At 32.4% G+C, this 17,649-nt stretch overlaps 1 long non-coding RNA gene across 1 annotated transcript in view; it reads left to right on the top strand.

Moving 5' to 3' along the window:
* LOC107985969 (uncharacterized) overlaps window positions 1–14,509 on the top strand; it is a 119,054-nt gene extending 104,545 nt beyond the window's left edge. The window contains exon 3 of the long non-coding RNA XR_001739832.2: window positions 12,405–14,509. This is a non-coding gene — a long non-coding RNA (uncharacterized LOC107985969). The remainder of the gene's footprint in view (window positions 1–12,404) is intronic.
* The last annotated feature ends 3,140 nt before the right edge of the window (window positions 14,510–17,649 follow it).

Genomic DNA, 17,649 nt, shown 5'->3' with positions numbered 1-17,649 from the left:
ACCTTATTTTATAAATATAAGATTGCTGTGTATAGTATTTTCAATCAGCTTGTTTATCAGGGTTTTGAATATATTATCTCACTTCCTTCTGACCTTCAAGATTCCTGCTGAGAAATATGCTAATAGTTTTGCAGATTCCCTTGTATGTGACTATTTGCTTTTCCCTTGCTGCACCCTCAACTTCCCTTATTGCACTTTCAATACTCATTCTTTGTCTAGCTCTTGACAATTTGATTATGTGTCTTGATCTGTGTCTCTGCAAATTCATCTTATTTGGTGTCTTTCAGGCTTCCTGTATCTGGATTTCTATTTTCTTCCCCAAACTTGGGAATATATCTGCCATTATTCATTTGAATATGCTCTATGATTCTTTCTCTCTTCTCCTGCTGACAAGCCAATAATGCAAAATTTGTAATTTTTTTTTTTCTTTTAGACATATGGCCTCACTTTGTCACCCAGGCTGGAGTGTAGTGGTGCAATCACAGCTCACTGCAGCCTTGACCTCCTGGGCTCAAGCAATTCTCCCACCTCAGAATCCTGAGTAGCTGGGGCTACAGATGTGTACCACTGTACTTTGGCTAATCAAAGAAAAATATATAGAGACAGGGTCTCATTATGTGGCTCAGGCTAACATAAGTTTGCTGTGGTGGGGGGCATTTAAACAACAGCATTCAGCCCTGGCTTTCCAAAAGTCATGTATTTCTTACATACAAAATATATTAATTTCATCTTAATAGATTAAACATTGTTAACTTGCTCAGCATCAACTCAAAAGTCCAAAGTACAGAGTTATATATTGTGAGTATCATGGCATAATTCATTCTTAGTCATAGTCCCTCAAGATGTGAGCCTGTGAAATAAAAATAAGTTATCTACTTTCAAAATACAATGGTGGGATAGGCTTAAGACATACATTTTCAATTCAAAATGGGCATATGGGCAAGAAAGGAGTAAGTGGTCCCGAGCAAGTCCAAAACCCAACACGGTGAATAACGTTAAGTCTTAAAGTTGGAGAGTAATCTCCTTTGACTCCATGTCCTGTATCCTGGGCACATTGGAGAGTGGGTTGGTTACCCAAGTCCTTAGGAATTTCTGCCATTCTGGCTTTATTGGGCTCAGTCTACCCAGCACCTCTCAGGTTAGAGTTTCATGCCTCCAGCTCTCACCAGTTGGAAATGCGTACTGGGCTCTGCCGTTCTGAGATCGTGGAGGCAGCCTCACTCCTATGGTTCTACCAGCCGTTGTCCTAAAACAGAATCTCTGTGGTAACTCCAACACTGCCATAGGCTTCTGCCTCAGCCACCAGGCTATCTGAGATATCCTTAGAAATCCAGGTGAAGGTAGATATGCCCCCACAATTTTTGCATTCTGTGAGTATGCAGACTCAACACCTTGTGGATGCCACAAAAGCCTCTTGCTTGTGCCCTTTAGAGTAGTGGCTTAAGTTGCACCTGGGTCCACTTGAGCCATGGCTAAGGTAGCCAGGAGTGCTATGCTGGAATGTGGGGAATAGAATTGTGAGGCAGCAATGGACAGCAAGTCCACAAAGGGTACCAGGTCCATCACCATCCCCTGAAACAATGCTGCCTTTCTAGAGCTCTAGTCGTGTTATGGGAGGGGAAGGCTTGAAGTTTTCTGAAATGCCTTTGAGGTTTTTCTCCCATTGACTTGATGAATAGCACTTGGATTTCTTCAATGCATGTTTATCTTTTTAGCAAACAGTCACTGGTCCACACACTTAGTTTGCTCTCTTAAGTAAGCCTTTTCACTCGATGCAGCCAGCGTGTGACCTTTTCAAATCTTTCCATTCTGCTTCTTTTTTAATTATAAATTTCCTTTTGTCTTTTTTTTTCTCTTTCACATCTCAGCATATATAATAAAGTGTCACCACCTAGCAGCCTGAATGCTTTGCTGCTTAGATATATTTTTTCCCACCAGATAGCCTAGTTCATTGCTCTTAAGTTATGCATTCCATAAAGCCCTTGAGGAGGAACACAATTCAGCCAAGGTCTTTATTACTTTATAACAGGGATGGCATTTCCTCAAGTTTCCAATACCTCGGGCGCGGTGGCGGGCGCCTGTAGTCCCAGCTACTCGGGAGGCTGAGGCAGGAGAATGGCGTGAACCCGGGAAGCGGAGCTTGCAGTGAGCCGAGATTGCGCCACTGCAGTCCGAAGTCCGGCCTGGGCGACAGAGAGAGACCCCGTCTCAAAAAAAAAAAAAAAAAAAAAAAAAAAAAGACCTCATCAGAATGTCCTTTACTGTTCATATTTCTATCAATATTCTGATTACAACCACTTAAGTGATCTTTAAGATGTTCTATATTTTCCATACAGCTTTTCCCTTTTTCTGAGCCCCCACAAAAATAAAATTTAACACTCAATTCAGAGAATAAAGGCTTTTTCTAGTCCACTCCCCCAAATTCTTCTACTCTCCACAGATTGCCTAGTTTCAAAGCCACTTTCTCATTTTTAAATACTTGTTATAGCAACAACTCCACTTCTTGATACAAATGTTCTCTCTTACTCTATTTTGTGCTGCTGTAACAGACTGCTTGAGAATGGATAATTGATAAAGAAAAGAAACTTATTTTTCACAGTTTTGAAGCTAAGAAATTCAAAATTATGACACCAACATCTCGTGAGGGTCATCCTATTATGGAAAGTGAAAGACCAGAAGAAAGCACACAAGATGGAGAGAGAGAAAATTGAGCTAAACTCAACATGTTTATCCAAAGGCAACTTTTGGGATAACTAACCCACTCTTTTGATGATGAAATTAATCTATTCATGAAGGCAGAGCCCTCATGATCTAGTCATTGCTAAAAAGTTCCCACCTTTCAACACTGTTGCATTGTGGTTTAAGTTTCAACACAATTTTTAGAGGGTGTGTTAAAACCATAGTATGTAAAGTTTGTGTATGTATCAAAATTGAGTTGTCATTAACTTAAAATAGCCTTTTATAAGTATAAGATATTATATGTAAGCCTCAGAATAATCACAAAGCAAAAGCTTATAATTCATACACAAAAGACAAAAATAAAATATTGAAAGCATTTTACCAGAGAATGTCTTCAAACCACAAAGGAGCAAAGCAAGTGAGTAAGAAAAAACAGATAAGTAAAACAACCTGCAAAGAATTAACAAAAGGATACTAGTAAGTCCTAACTTATCAACAATTACTTTGAATGCAAATAAATTTAATTATTCAATCAAAAGGCATAGACAGGCTGAATGAATTAAAGGAAAAAAAGATCCAACAATATGCTGCCTACAAGAGACTTACCTCACATGAAAGGACCTTTATACTGAAAAGTAAAGGGATAAAAATATATTCCATGCTAATGGAAACCAAAGAAAGTAGGAGTAGCTCACACAAAATAGACTTTAGGGCAAAAACTGTAAAAAGAGATAAATGAGGTCATCATATTGTGATAAAGGGGTCAATTTATTGAAAGAATATAACAACTGGAAATATGTATAGCCCCAACATTAAAGCACCTAAATATCTAAAGAAAACATTAATAGATCTGAAGAAAGACATAGACTACAACACAGAAATAGTAGAATTCATTCAACAGGAGACAGATCATTCAAATAAAATGAATAAGAATACACTGGATTTGAACTACACTGTAGACCAAATAGATTTGACAGGCATATACAGAACATACAATCCAACAGCAGCAGGATGTGCATTATTCTCAACTGCACACAGAACTATCTCCAGGATAACTCATATATTAGGTCACAAATAAAAGTGTTACAAAATTAAAGAAAATTGAAATTATATCATGTGTCTCTCTGCCCATGATTATATGAAACTAGAAATCAGTAACAAGAGAAATAAAGAAATAGTAATAAATATATGGAAAATAAACCATATGCTTCAGAACTATTATTGTGTTAAAATAAGAAATTAAAGGAAATTATTTTTAAATCTTAAAACAAATAAAAATGGAAACATAACATACCCAAACTTATGGGATACAGCCAAAGTAGTTTTAAGAGGGAAGAAAGAGATCTTGTATTAATGGATTAGAAGAATTAATAGCTTGTTAAAAAGTTCATACTCTAAAGTGATCTTACAATTCAATGAAATCCCATCAAAATCAGCAAAATAAGGAACACTTATATGCTGTTGGTGGGAATGTAAATTAGTTCAGCCACTGTAGAAAGCAGTTTGGAAATTTCTCAAGTAACTTAAAACAGAACTATCATTTGACCCAGTAATCCTATTACAGGGTATCTACCCAAAGAAAAATAAATAATACTGCCGAAAAAGACACATGTACCCATATGTTTACCATAGCAGTATTCCCACTGGCAAAGACATGGAATAAACCTAGGGGCCCATAAATGGTGGATTGGATTTAAAAAATAAAGTGGTACATATATACCATACTATACAGCCAAGAAAAAAAAAATCATGTCTTTTGCAGCAACATGGATGCAATTAGAGGTCATTATCCTAAGCAACTTAATGCAGGAGAAGAAAATCAAACACAGGATGCTCTTACATATAAGTGGGAACTAAACATTGGGTACACATGGACATAAAGATAGGAACAATAGATGCTGGGGACTGCCTTGAGGGGAAAAGAGGGTAAAGCACTGAAAAAATACCTATTGGGTACTATTCTCACTACCTGGGTGACAGGATCATGCACATTTCAAACCTCAGCATAATGCACTATACCCATGTGACAAACCTGCACATGTACCCTCTCCCCACCACAATCTAAAATAAAAGTTAAAATTATAAAAAAATTAAAAATTCTAAAAAGTTTTTTTTTTTTTTTGAGATGAAGTCTTCCTCTGTCGCCAAGGCTGGAGTGCAGTGGCCTGATCTCTGCTCACTGCAACCTCTGCCTCCCGGGTTCAAGCGATTTTCCTGTCTCAGCCTACTGAGTAGCTGGGATTACAGGTGCCCACCGCCACGCCTGGCTAATTTTTGTTTGTTTAGTAGAGACGGGGTTTCACCATGTTGGCCAGGCTGATCTTGAACTCCTGACCTCAGGTGATCCACCCGCCTTGCCTTCCCAAAATGCTGGGATTACAGACATGAGCCACTGTGCCCGGCACAAAGATTTTTAAAAAAACCAGAGGAACCCTAGTTGATACGCATATTACAACATATCTGAGTAGCTCTTCATGAAAAACAATGAAAATCCGAGAAAAATATCAGGTCATTTAAGAAACATTATAACTAAATGAAATACAGTATCTTGGATAGGATGTTGAAAGAGAAAAAGGACATTAGGTAAAACAAATGAAATACAAAGTCTGGAATTTAGTTACTAATAATCTGTCAATATTAGTTCATTAGTTGTGAGAAAGTACTACAAAATATGCGATGTTGATATTAGGGGATATTGGATGTGAGATATATTTGAACGCTCTATATTATCTTTGTAACTTTTTGTTGATCAAAAACTTGTTAAAGAGAAATGCATTAAATATAGTTTTTAAAACTTTAATAAATAATATCACATTTTTACATGTAATGGATGATGTCTAACTACCAGGAAAATATATTACTTTTGGGATAATTGACTTGGGTAGAAGAAATGGTAAAGCTTTACCTGTTCTCTGGCTCTGGCCACAAATTTTCAATCATCTTTCCAATTTCATAAATTAGGTAATCTTAGTTATAACTATCTCAAATAAACCAGAAATAAAAGTTTAAGAGCAAAAATAAAATGTAGTAAAAAATAAAGTAAGAATTTGAAATGTAATTATATAAGTAGGAATAAAAATTTAAAAGGAGATAATAAAAACATTTTTTAATGCTTGGCATTAACAATTTTGTAACCGGTTTTCATGTAAATATATTGATTATAATCATTGTGTAACAGTGTTGTTAATTAAGGTTTTCAAAACAGTAAAATGTCTAATATTACAGAATATAAATTACAATCAAACATTCAGAGGTATTTTTTTGATTAACTAAATCAACATTTTTCAGATTTGGTGAAATCCAATTGTCACATTCACGAATTTTATTAGTTGTTTGAATAGCATGTGATTAAGAGATCAATGTATTGTTTAATAATTTATATATTGGACATTAACGTACAAATAATGATACTTGTCTTCTCATGACAAACTTCTTATATATTAAAGAATAAATCAAGAATAAAATGTTCATTTCACCCTGGAAAAAGATCATTAGAACACACACAGACATGCACATGCACACACAGAGGAGTGGCTTAGCAAATGGGGATTCATGTCAGTCTGTTTACACAGTTATACACACACACACAGACACGCACACATAATTACCCTTCTTTTCTGTAAACTTCTTTCCACTTTTTAAAACTGAGGTGCTTTTTTTAGACTCTACTTTGTCGTCTCAAAATTTTCCTTATAGGTTTCAAATTGTTGGATACAGAATTGGGAAATTTCTATGCAACGGATCTCATAATGCTATGCTCAATGAAAATATTCATTCTATCTAGTCAAAATAAGTTAAAAAAATATATACTTCAGGTACTACCTCTTTTGCAGGCAACTAAATCCTTCCCTGGAGCAAATCATACTTTCACTTGCTTTTCCCTCTTTAAAATGTCCCTGTGGAGCTTTTCACAGTGTCAGACAGAAATACTTTTTTGCTCAATTTATCCACTATCCACCTAGAGTGAATATTATTTGCAGTGCAGGTAGAACATTTCACAGTTTGTGTTGTTCTTCTCTACCTACCATAAATACATAATTATGTGGATTCTGTTCAGCACATCGCTTTAAAATGCTTCAATTATTTCTGGAATATCCTTGGTGAAGAAAAATATTAACAGTCTAAAAAACCATGTGAAACTTAACATACTCTGAGCAGATACATCATGTTAAAAATATGTGTTACAGCACCATGTAAAAGACATCAAACTATACTGTATTCTAGCTAGCTTTCTAGAATAACAAAATAAATACTTTAGTTTAATGGTGACTTGTTTCCATTCTTTAAGTAACCTTGCAAATATTGAAGACTATTACAGGAATATTTAATCTTCTCCTGAAGACAGGCCCACTATATCAACTCAGATACTGAATTTGGCACCTAAATACACGATTATTTCACATCCGTAGGCATTTAAGCACAAAAAAGGGTTTTTGCTTAGCTAAGTGTCAACGAGGGAACTCAAATGTGCAATTTATGTACACCTTTTAGACACCAGGTTTTGAAAATCTCAGTTTGAATATATTGACAAGTTGTGATGTTTTTCCACATACATAAAATGCTATGGTTTGACCAGGTCAAAAATACCTTTGAGCGCAGTGAAATTTTATTAAAACAACTCCTACAGGACAAGCACAGGGGAAAATCATAAGTATTAAAATTAAACACTCATTCCAATAGTGAGAAATCTATTTGAAGAACAGATTTATGACTTGACACATACTAAATGGATTGTAAATTACTGCACATTGTGCCATTTTATTCTCCAATAATTTTACGTGGTATAATTCAGGTCTCTTTATAGTCCCTGATTCCAAGGTAATAAAACAACAGAGCTATTTCCTCATCCATTTATTTACTCATTTTTAAAAAAATGTATAGCACAATTCTTACAAGCTGGAGAGCATCCATGTTAGAATTCCTCGGAAGTGGATAAGGGCCATTTTTCTGTAATAATAATAAGGATAATGATAATATGAATGCCATTTTTGCAACCAGGAGTTACATGGCCCTCTTGCTGAATGGTAGTGTTTTGCTTTTTCCATCACATGTGAAGTTCCTTTAAATATTGCAAATGACACTTCAAATGAGAAATTAGTACATTTGCTGCTGTCTGTTTAAGTTAAACTTACTTTTATATTGGTTTAGCAAAGTTCTTGCTAGATCTATGTATAAACTATTTGTTTTTAAAGTCCCACTCCTAGCTTGAAAAAGAAGCAATATTTGTTTTGAAACAAAACTTTTTAACTCCTTGGATAAATTGTAATTTATTTCTTGTTTTCTACCCACACTAAGAAAGAAAAATAGATTCATTCATATTTTGTACCCTAACTATTGATCCTTCTTTCTTCAAATATATAATAGTAAGTAAAGAAGTTTCTGTTGTTGTTGTTGTTGTTAAGCTAAATAAAAAGCTCTCATACCCTTTCCTCGTTTACTTTTTTATGTCTTTGGAAAATTTGGAATCATGAGGAATATCCTGTTGACATTGCCTCACTATTTACGAAAAACAACAATGCCGATCAATACATAGTAGAGGGAGTTTTAATTTTTTTGGTGAGACTACCTGGAGAGAGAAGTTTATCTGACATTAACCTAGATCTTAATTTAGATAATCACAGATGGGAGGAAACTGAATCAAGTAGTAGGATCCATTCATTCCTTGGCAATCTATAAACGGGCACTTGTAGGAATAAATTGCCTAATTAATCAAGAACATGGATTTACTTATCAAATATTTATTAAATGCCTGCTTGGTGTCAGACACCACTCTGCCATGGGAATAAGCAGAAAAATTATTTCTCCAAATCGGTACAAATGAAATGATAAATCGTTTAGAAAAAATTAGTTATACTTTTGATTAATATTTATTTATGTAACTAATTGCATGTGCAAAAGTGTCTTAGAAGAGATCATCAAAAAAGATCATGTTTTCAGCACAATGATATGTTTTTAAAGATAACAAGAATTTAGAAATGTGGTATTTTTCAACAATTGTAAAATTTTGATAATTTTACTGAGTTCAAAACAACATTGCATGAACCATAAGTCAGAATTATGACTCTTGTGAAATGTTACACATTATCTGAAATGTTGTATGTATCTAGATTTTCAACTGAATTTAGAACAATAAATAGGACTCTGGCTAAAATTTAGCAATGGGCTTATTAATCTGTACTACTGCTATTGATCTTAGGATATCATTTTTCTTCTATTTTGTGAATCATTTTTTAAATCACCATTGTTATTTTTAAGCCTGTATAAGAAACTATAACGGGACAAATAGGATATTGAGTGTCTTGAAAAGTACACGCAATCGCTGAGAGACTTATATAAGCTAATGAGGTTCTGGGAATATAATTGCAAGTCATACTATTTGTCCCAAGGAATGTTAAATCTGTAGCACACGGCTTATGCCTCTTCCCAAGACATTTAGCCAATAATAAATGAAATAAATCAGTCTTTTTTGTATTGCAGAATTTATCTAAGCCTATAAAATGCTAACAGGTATTATAACTCTCTATTTTTCAGGCTTTTTGCATCTCTTTTTCATAGAAAGTATTACAACATTAGAGACTCTTACAGTTTTTCAGAAATGCCATGTTGGAATGATCAAAATAAAAAGCTTTTTGGAATAATTATATATTATTGTATAAACTGAGAAGCAAAATATGTGCCTAATTTTAAAATGTCAACTACTTATTTATATTTTTCTCTGAGACTCATAGAGAGCTAGGCTAGTAAGAAATTATGATGCTGTCTAGCCCCAGTTCATTTTGGTTGTAATCAACCTAAGACTAATACAGTTCATCTCAATAAGTGCATGGTTATTATCTGTATTTGTTAATTTCATTGTTGTTAATTTTTTTAAAATGAAGACATCTTTTAACAAATTAAAACCAAATGACAGAGTGAGTAATTTTCACAGTGGGTACTATATTTATAGCAAAATGTCTTAAACTTCTTTTTGTTTTCTTGCTGACGTTTTTTAACTGAACAACTTAAATTGGCAGCAGACCAGTTTTCTTAGAAGAAAATTCAAGCTGTGGCAGCCCGTGAGATATTACTGATCTGACTTAGGTTTTTTTGAACCATAAATATAACATATATATAAATGGTGTCGTGTGTTTTGAACTACTCTGCAAGTCTTAATAGCAAAATAAAACATTCTGTTGTAAAATAAATATTTATAAAGAAAATGTGAGACATAATTTTACATAATTCAGAAGTAGGTAAAAAAAATTCTGTTACATCTAAGAAAAACATTTGACATCAATACAACAGTCTTATTTTTTGAGCATTACATATTATAATTTGAGGGACTGCTATACCAAACAGGTGGCTTTGATTCTCTGGTAAGTCTCCCAATTAAGCTAAATGAAGATTGAAGGCAGAGTCTTTTAAATTGCTCCATCCAGAACATCTTTGTTTCTCTCAGTTGCTTTTCTCCCCTGACTATTGCTCACTCCTCTGTTGTGAATACGGATTTACATGCAGTGAAACTAAATGGAAATAAAATGCAACTAATTTGACTAATGTTCCCAAATAATTCAGAAGAAAGGAAAATTGACTAGCCAGACTAGGGATAGTGGCAAAAGAAGTAAGAGCTAATTACCTATGTAAATTATACATAATTAAATGTTATGACATGAATTAGAAGTATGTTATTTAAAATTCATGACAATATAGGTTCTCTCATTTTAAAGGTAACGTTACTTGTCCTGATCTTGAAGATTCTTGCTGACATTTACCTTTCTCCCTAACATATTTGGCCTGTGACAATATATTATTTCTTCTGTCACATTCATCCATAGTTTCTTTTTAAAAAAATTTCTAAAAATGTCAGTGTACTCTAATTATGATTGTTTTTCTAATATATGCTGTATTTTTCCTTCTATTTTCTAGGACGTATTGGGGGCAAATGAACAATAACTTTCTCCTTTTTTATTTTTGAATGGTTATTAGGTATAGACAAACTCACCCAATCTATATACCTTCTTATTTCCCCCAACTGCAATATTTTATTTTGGGGTTTCCTTTTCTAGTTGTTCTCTCACAAGAAATATAAAAATATTTCTTAAATTTCTAAGCATTTTTTATTTTAATTGATATTTTGGTTTGAATTTAGTTGAAGTTGTTAAATTTTTTTTAAGTAATATCAATCTTTCTAATAAGGAGCATGGTATATGTTTATTTTTAGTATATGTTCATTTATTCATATTTTACCACCTAACAAATGATAGACCTTTCATACTGACTACACTTATGGATAACTTTATGTATGTATGTTATTTGTTAACATAAATGTTTTTATTTTATTGTGCAACAGGTCCCCAATTAACAGTCTTTTTACACAGTTTATGTATACATAATAGTTACACATATTTATGGGATACATGTGATGTTTTGATACAAGCATAAAATGTGTAATGATCAAATCTGGGTAATTAGAATATCCATTACCTCCAAGATGAATAATTTATTTGTGTTGGGAATAGTTCAAATCTTTTTATCTAAGTACTTTGAAATGTGCAATAAATTATTGTCAGCTAGTCACTCTATTGTGCTATCAAACACTAGAATTTATTCCTCCTATTTAACTGTATGTTTATACCCATTAACCAACCCTGTTCATCTGCCTTTTCCCAATACCCTACCCACCCTCTAGTAACCACCCTTCTATTCATAAGCTTCCACATATTCCACATATGAGTGAGAACATGTGATGTTTGTTCTCTTGTGCCTGGCTTATTTCACTTAACAAAATGTCTTCTTGTTTCATCCATGTTTTGCAAATGACAGAATTTTATTCTTTTTTATGGCTGGATAATATCCCATTGTTTATAGATATACCACATTTTCTTTATTAATCCATTGATACACACTTAGGTTGAGTCCACAACTTGGCTATTGTGAATAGTGCTGCAATAAACATGGGGGTGTAAATATCTCTTCAATATATAGATTTCCTTTCTTTTGGATATTTAGCTAGTAGCAGAATTGCTGGATCATACAGAGTTCTGTTTTTAGTTGCTGACAAAAAAAATCATTTTGTTCAAGATTGCATACATTTGACAAAAAAAATTGATTCCTTGCTGGTGCCACTGTTTGTGTGGAGTTTGCACATTTTCCCCATGTCTATGTGTGTTTACTCAAGGTATTCCTATTTCTTTCCACATCCTAAAGATGTGCACATGAAGTAAATTTGTGTGTCTAAATGGTCCCAGCGAGAGTGAACATGGATGTGTGTGTGTGAGTGCACCCTGCAATGGAATGGCATCCTGTCTAGGGCTGGTTTTCACCTTGTGCCCTGAGCTGCTGGGAGATATGATCCTAAACTGGCATAATTTGGTAAATAATTATCTCACTTGTTTTTATTCATCTTTCTTAAATGTGTGTATAGTTCACATTTATTTCAATGTTTAATGTTAGAAGTATTTGTGGTGTTTGTAAAAAGTATGGTAACATTTTTCTGACCAGAACTATGCTGTAGATATTAAACTATTGTTTATATCAACTACCCAGTGGTAACATTGGTTCCATGATATGTTTTTTCTCTTAAAGTTACAGTTTCCAAAAACCTATCAGTGACATTAAGTGAAGACTTACTGCATTTTCTACCTGTTCATAGCTATTAAGCAAAATATTTAAACTCTTAATTTTTATCTTTATTGAATAAATATCTTTAGCATTTTGGATATTTACTATTTTATTTGCTCTTACAGGAATCTTTTGAGACTGGGGCTACAATCATCACCAGGATGAAGATGAAGAAACAAAAGCTCAGAGGTAAAATAACTTACCCAAAGTCTTATGCCTCGTAAATTGCTTGACTAAAATTCATACCTTGCTATGTTTTATTACAGAATCCATTAAAGTAAAATGGATGTTAAGCCTAAGTGCTCTTTAAAGTTTTCTAATTCCTCAAATAGTATAACAGTGTATTTCCTCCTTTAAAATAATTCTATTGCTTATTTTATTTCATGTCTCCTTGTTTTGCACCAAACTTCTAAAACAAATTTAATTAAAAATTTAGATTATATAAAATGAATGAACTCTTCAATATATAAAAATCTAAAAGTCTAGAAGAAAATGTGACACATATAACCAAAGATTCATATTTCCTTTATATATATTATTTCCTAACATTAACTATTAAAAATAAACTATATAAAAATGAGTCAATAATATGGACACAGAACTTACAAAAGATAGAATAAGTTCAAATAGACACAGGCTTCTGAATAAATAAATAGATACTAATTCATGAAATACCATTTTTCATATATAAGACTATTGTAAAATAATAATAGTAATGATAATAATAATACAGCATGTATTGAGTCCATGGAGAAAGAAGAAATCTCAAATGCTTTTGGTGATAAAATAATTTCTCATAACAATTTTGATAACATTTACATATTAAAATAAATGTGGCTACTTACCTAGTATTCTCACTTATAGGAAACTGTTCTGCAGAAATAGCATAGGCACCAAAAGATGTAAAAATGTGGATATCAATGATATAAATACAGTTGTAGTTTCATGCATAGATACAGGTAAGAATATAGATATAGATATAATTTGAGATAAAAATTTTGTCTAAGTAATTTGAGATAAAACTTTTGGCCAATCTCAAATGTGATTATTATAAAATGATTAAATAGATTATGTTTCACCCATCAATGGAGAATCAGAAAACTATTATAAGAAATAGATGAGAAACTATTCATACTCTCTAGAAATAAGGCTTAACCCATACTCCTACAAGGAAAATGCCCACATTAAATATTTAAAGTGTCTTTGACCACCTTAGAAAGAAGTATTTTTCTTTTTTTTTGTCAGCAGGATAACACAGGGGCAAGGAATTGAATGGACAGAGGTTAAAACTTTTAATTCTTGATAAAATTAAAAAGAAAATAAAATATGTGTGACTAAGAAAAGAAAATATGTGTGACTAAGGTGATTTTCAAAACTACACTTAAGAAAGCATTTTTTAATATTCTGAGTAAGAATGAAAAGAGAAGGGGAAATCCATTAGGAAAAATAACATATACTATTCCTGTCATTTTTAAAGCAAAGTCTAGAAGTTTTCTAACTCTTGAAACCATATCAAATTGAAGATACTATGATGTCCATTAATGCTATGCATATGATATATTATCAAAGGTACTTGGAAAAGTAAAATGTTTAGTATAAACAGAGATTTATAAAACTCCCTTAACTTACACTTAGTTATATTTTGGTTTATCAGCATAAAAGTAGAAACTAGATTTTAAAAATATAAAGTTACAGTTTTGTTGTATTCATTGTTTCCCAAGTTGAAAACTTTTTCACTTTCTTATTACTGAGATTATAATTTTCCATAAATTTCAAAATTCAATCACTCATTATATTTGCATCACTCAATTCTTATAATGTCTTTATGGAATATAAAAGTTATTTTAACTATTCTTCACTTACTCTTCTCTGGATGCTGGTCCAAGACTAGGATTACATGAGTGAATAAAACATGGTTGAAATAATTCCTGGTCTAATGGGGAAAAACATAATTCAGTATAAAACAATGTAGGTTTTTTTTAAAAAAATAATGAATTTATATAAAAAATACATAAAACACAGTACAATTACCATATAGAGAATAGGGCATGAAGTGGAGCCAGTTTAAATCCTGGCTTTATTAGTAACCTATTGTGTGATTCTGGAAAACTCATTTACCTTTTTATGCCCCAAGACCTTTGTCTGTAAAATGGTGATTAGGATTAAGTAGCTTTGCACATAATAATAACTGTGTGTGACTTCTAACAACAACAACAAAAACAGCCAAAAGAATAAAATATCAATTACTATGTCACTTGCCAAAAGTATGTGAATAAGTAGGGAAATGAACCCGATGTTATTAATGCAAATTCTGTCCTTGTTATATATTTTCTTATACTAGTGATGTTTCAATTTTTCAAAGTGATTTACCTTTTAAATATTTTTTAAAAACTTGTGGTTTGAAAAGTTTTAACTTTCTTGATCTCTTAACATAAGCTAAATAAAAGAAAGTTGTTATTTTTCCCATTTGTGCTCAGCCATATCCCAAACTAAATCATCATACATAGTACTATCTACTTTAGTCGTCATTGCTAACTGTATTATTTTGCTTTTGTTCTGATTCAAATGTATGAATTCTAGATATTGAAATATAATTTAGAAATCTTTTCTCAATAGGGCTTAATTATTGTTCTAATATCACCAGAATTCAGTCACCCTGAAGCCTAGGCTCTTTTATTAACTTGCCTTTTTCACATCTGCTCATAATGCATCTCAAAGTGAATATGCCCCACATCCAATTTTTAATTTCCTGCAGAAGTGTCTTTTTTTGTTGTTGCTCCCATTTAAGTCAGTAGCATCAACATTTGTGCAGTTGTTTGGTCTTGTTCCTTGGACTCAGACTTGACTTTCTCACCATACACCCATCTTACAAGCACATCCTTTAGTTTTTTAACCTCAAGATAAAACTCATGTCTAACCACTTCACATGACCTACATCACCACTGTAGTTCAGCCATTATTCTCTATCACTGGATTTACCTGTTTCACATGGTTTATCTGATTCACATGGTTCTAATTTTGACACTCTAAGTCAATTGTCCACACTGCATCCAGAGCGATCCTTTGCGAATAAAAATCAGATTATGTCATGTATCTGTTCAGACACCTCCAATAAGTTTGGCCTCAGCTCATCTGGAATAAATTCAAATACTTTTAACCGTGGTTTAATGAGTCCAACATTAATTGACCCCTGAATATGTATCTGACTTTATTTTATCTAAAGCTCTCTCTCTCTTTCTAATGTCCTCAAGCTACATTAGCTTTCTTGCTATTTGTTAAAATTGCGAAGCACAATTCTGCCTTGTCTTCCCTCTTTCCCAAATGTTCTTCTCCCCTACTAGATAGCCAGATAACTCTTTCCTTCAGTATAGGTGCAGTCTTTTTTCTCCTCCAAATTTCAAAGTTCCATTAGTGAAGCATTTTCAGATCATCTTATCTAAATTAACACTTCATGTAGCTCTCCACCACTTCCTACTAGAATAAACGCTGCAAGAAGGCCAGAACTGTTCTGCAGATACTAAATAAGTATGAATCAAATGAATGCAACTAATGCTTTATATTGTTTTACGTGTTCATATGTCAAATAAAAATAGTTGTCTATTTATATTTCATATCATAATAATCACTGTTTAAAATAGTAAAATAAAAGTGAGTTATCATCATTTAATGGGATTTCTTAGAACTAAGTGCCTCTCAATTCTTCAGAATGACTTAAGAAGATAGTATTTTTCAGTCAAAGCCAACAGAGAAATACTGATAGAAAATAAAGATGGAAAAGACAGATTTACCAATTGGGGATTTCATAGTTTTATATATCAGTAATACTATATTGATGCTTATAATTTTGCTTAAGACTAAAGAGTTGGAAAATAGCAGGAAAAAAATCAATATAGTTTGTTTATGGAGCACATAGTTGATGAGTTTTCTTACCCTTTCTTTTTTTCCTAAGTAAAGCATCTTGCAGTTTCTGCTTTATTTTTATAAGACATTTAAAAATACATGAAATAGTTATTGGATTTCATAATTTAAAAAATCTATATAGAACATCACATTTCCCATATGATTTATTAATTTGATGAATTATATTAAAATATTTCCTAATTTTCGATAACTTATACATCTTGAGATAAACAGTCAATTTTAAAAAAATTAAGTTTCTTATTAACTTAATTTTCTTTCAGATATTTTGTATCAATTCAAAAGTCAGTGTGGTCTGCAGTTTTTGTGTTGTTTTCGTGAAGATTTCTTATCACTGTTATCCTGATTATGCCAAAATTATCTGGAATCATTCCTCACTTTTATATCCTCTGGAAGAGTTTAAATACCATTGGAATTACTACTTTCTCAAATATGTCATTGAATACATCTGTGAAAATAGTTGTGACTAGTGCTTTAATTAGAAAACAATTCAATAATTTTATATTTTTGACAATTTGACTTTTAAATTGTTTTCTATCCTGGTATTCATTTGACAATTTATAGTTTTCTACAACATTTAGGCAAAGATTGTAAACTAATTTCCATACAGTTGAGAAAATTAATTGCATAAAATTATTTTATTTACTCTATGGTTGTGTCTTTATTCTCACCTATAATTTTGTGTCACTTTGCTTATTTTTCTCTTTTTTTGACAATATCTGTTAAATATTTTTGTTATTTATTATTGTTTTCAAATGAACCATCTCTGGAATGTGTTTATCATTTCTACTTTCACCTCAATAATTCCTCTTTCATCACTTATTAATTCAACCTTCCATGGATTTTTGTGTGTTCGTGTCTCTTATTTAGATCTTGTTCTTTTCAGTGGCCATAATCAACAGCTGTTGAGCTACTTGCCAACCGTAGTTTCTCTAGTTTCTCTTCTACATGTCCCTTAAGGATAACATGCTTCCAGGAAATTTGATATTTCTGAAAAGCAGGCTAAAAAGTTTGGCTGAAGACTACTTTGATGCATGATTAATTTTGCCAAATGATTACCTGGTCTAATTTAAGTATCTACTAAAAAGCGAAACACCTAATTTAATCTATATGGTCTTTGGCAATTTAAGTTTGCATTGGATGTAATTTTTAAAAGACTTTTGAAGATGTCAGTGAAATTTTAGTTTTTCTTCACAGGTTTTTCTTTTTTGGTGCAGAAAAGGGGAATATTCTCATTGGGAAAAGATGGGAATCATAATGTATCAGAGTGTTGTTTGAATCTCCCAAAAATAGAGGCACGGATGGACAGAAAACGTTGACTCAGATGATCTGAGAGAGATGAATAAGAATCAGGGAACAGGGAAAACACTCTAGTGTGGACATGGGAGTTGAGAGTTACAGAGGTGGAGTTTAGAAGAAGGAAAAATCCTAGGATATTCTAGAGAGAAAAAA

Source organism: Homo sapiens, chromosome 2 (genome assembly GCF_000001405.40).
Source record: "Homo sapiens chromosome 2, GRCh38.p14 Primary Assembly".
Taxonomy (NCBI): domain Eukaryota; kingdom Metazoa; phylum Chordata; class Mammalia; order Primates; family Hominidae; genus Homo; species Homo sapiens.
The sequence above is the reverse complement of the archived record's forward strand: the minus strand, read 5'-3'. Positions and strand labels throughout refer to the sequence as shown.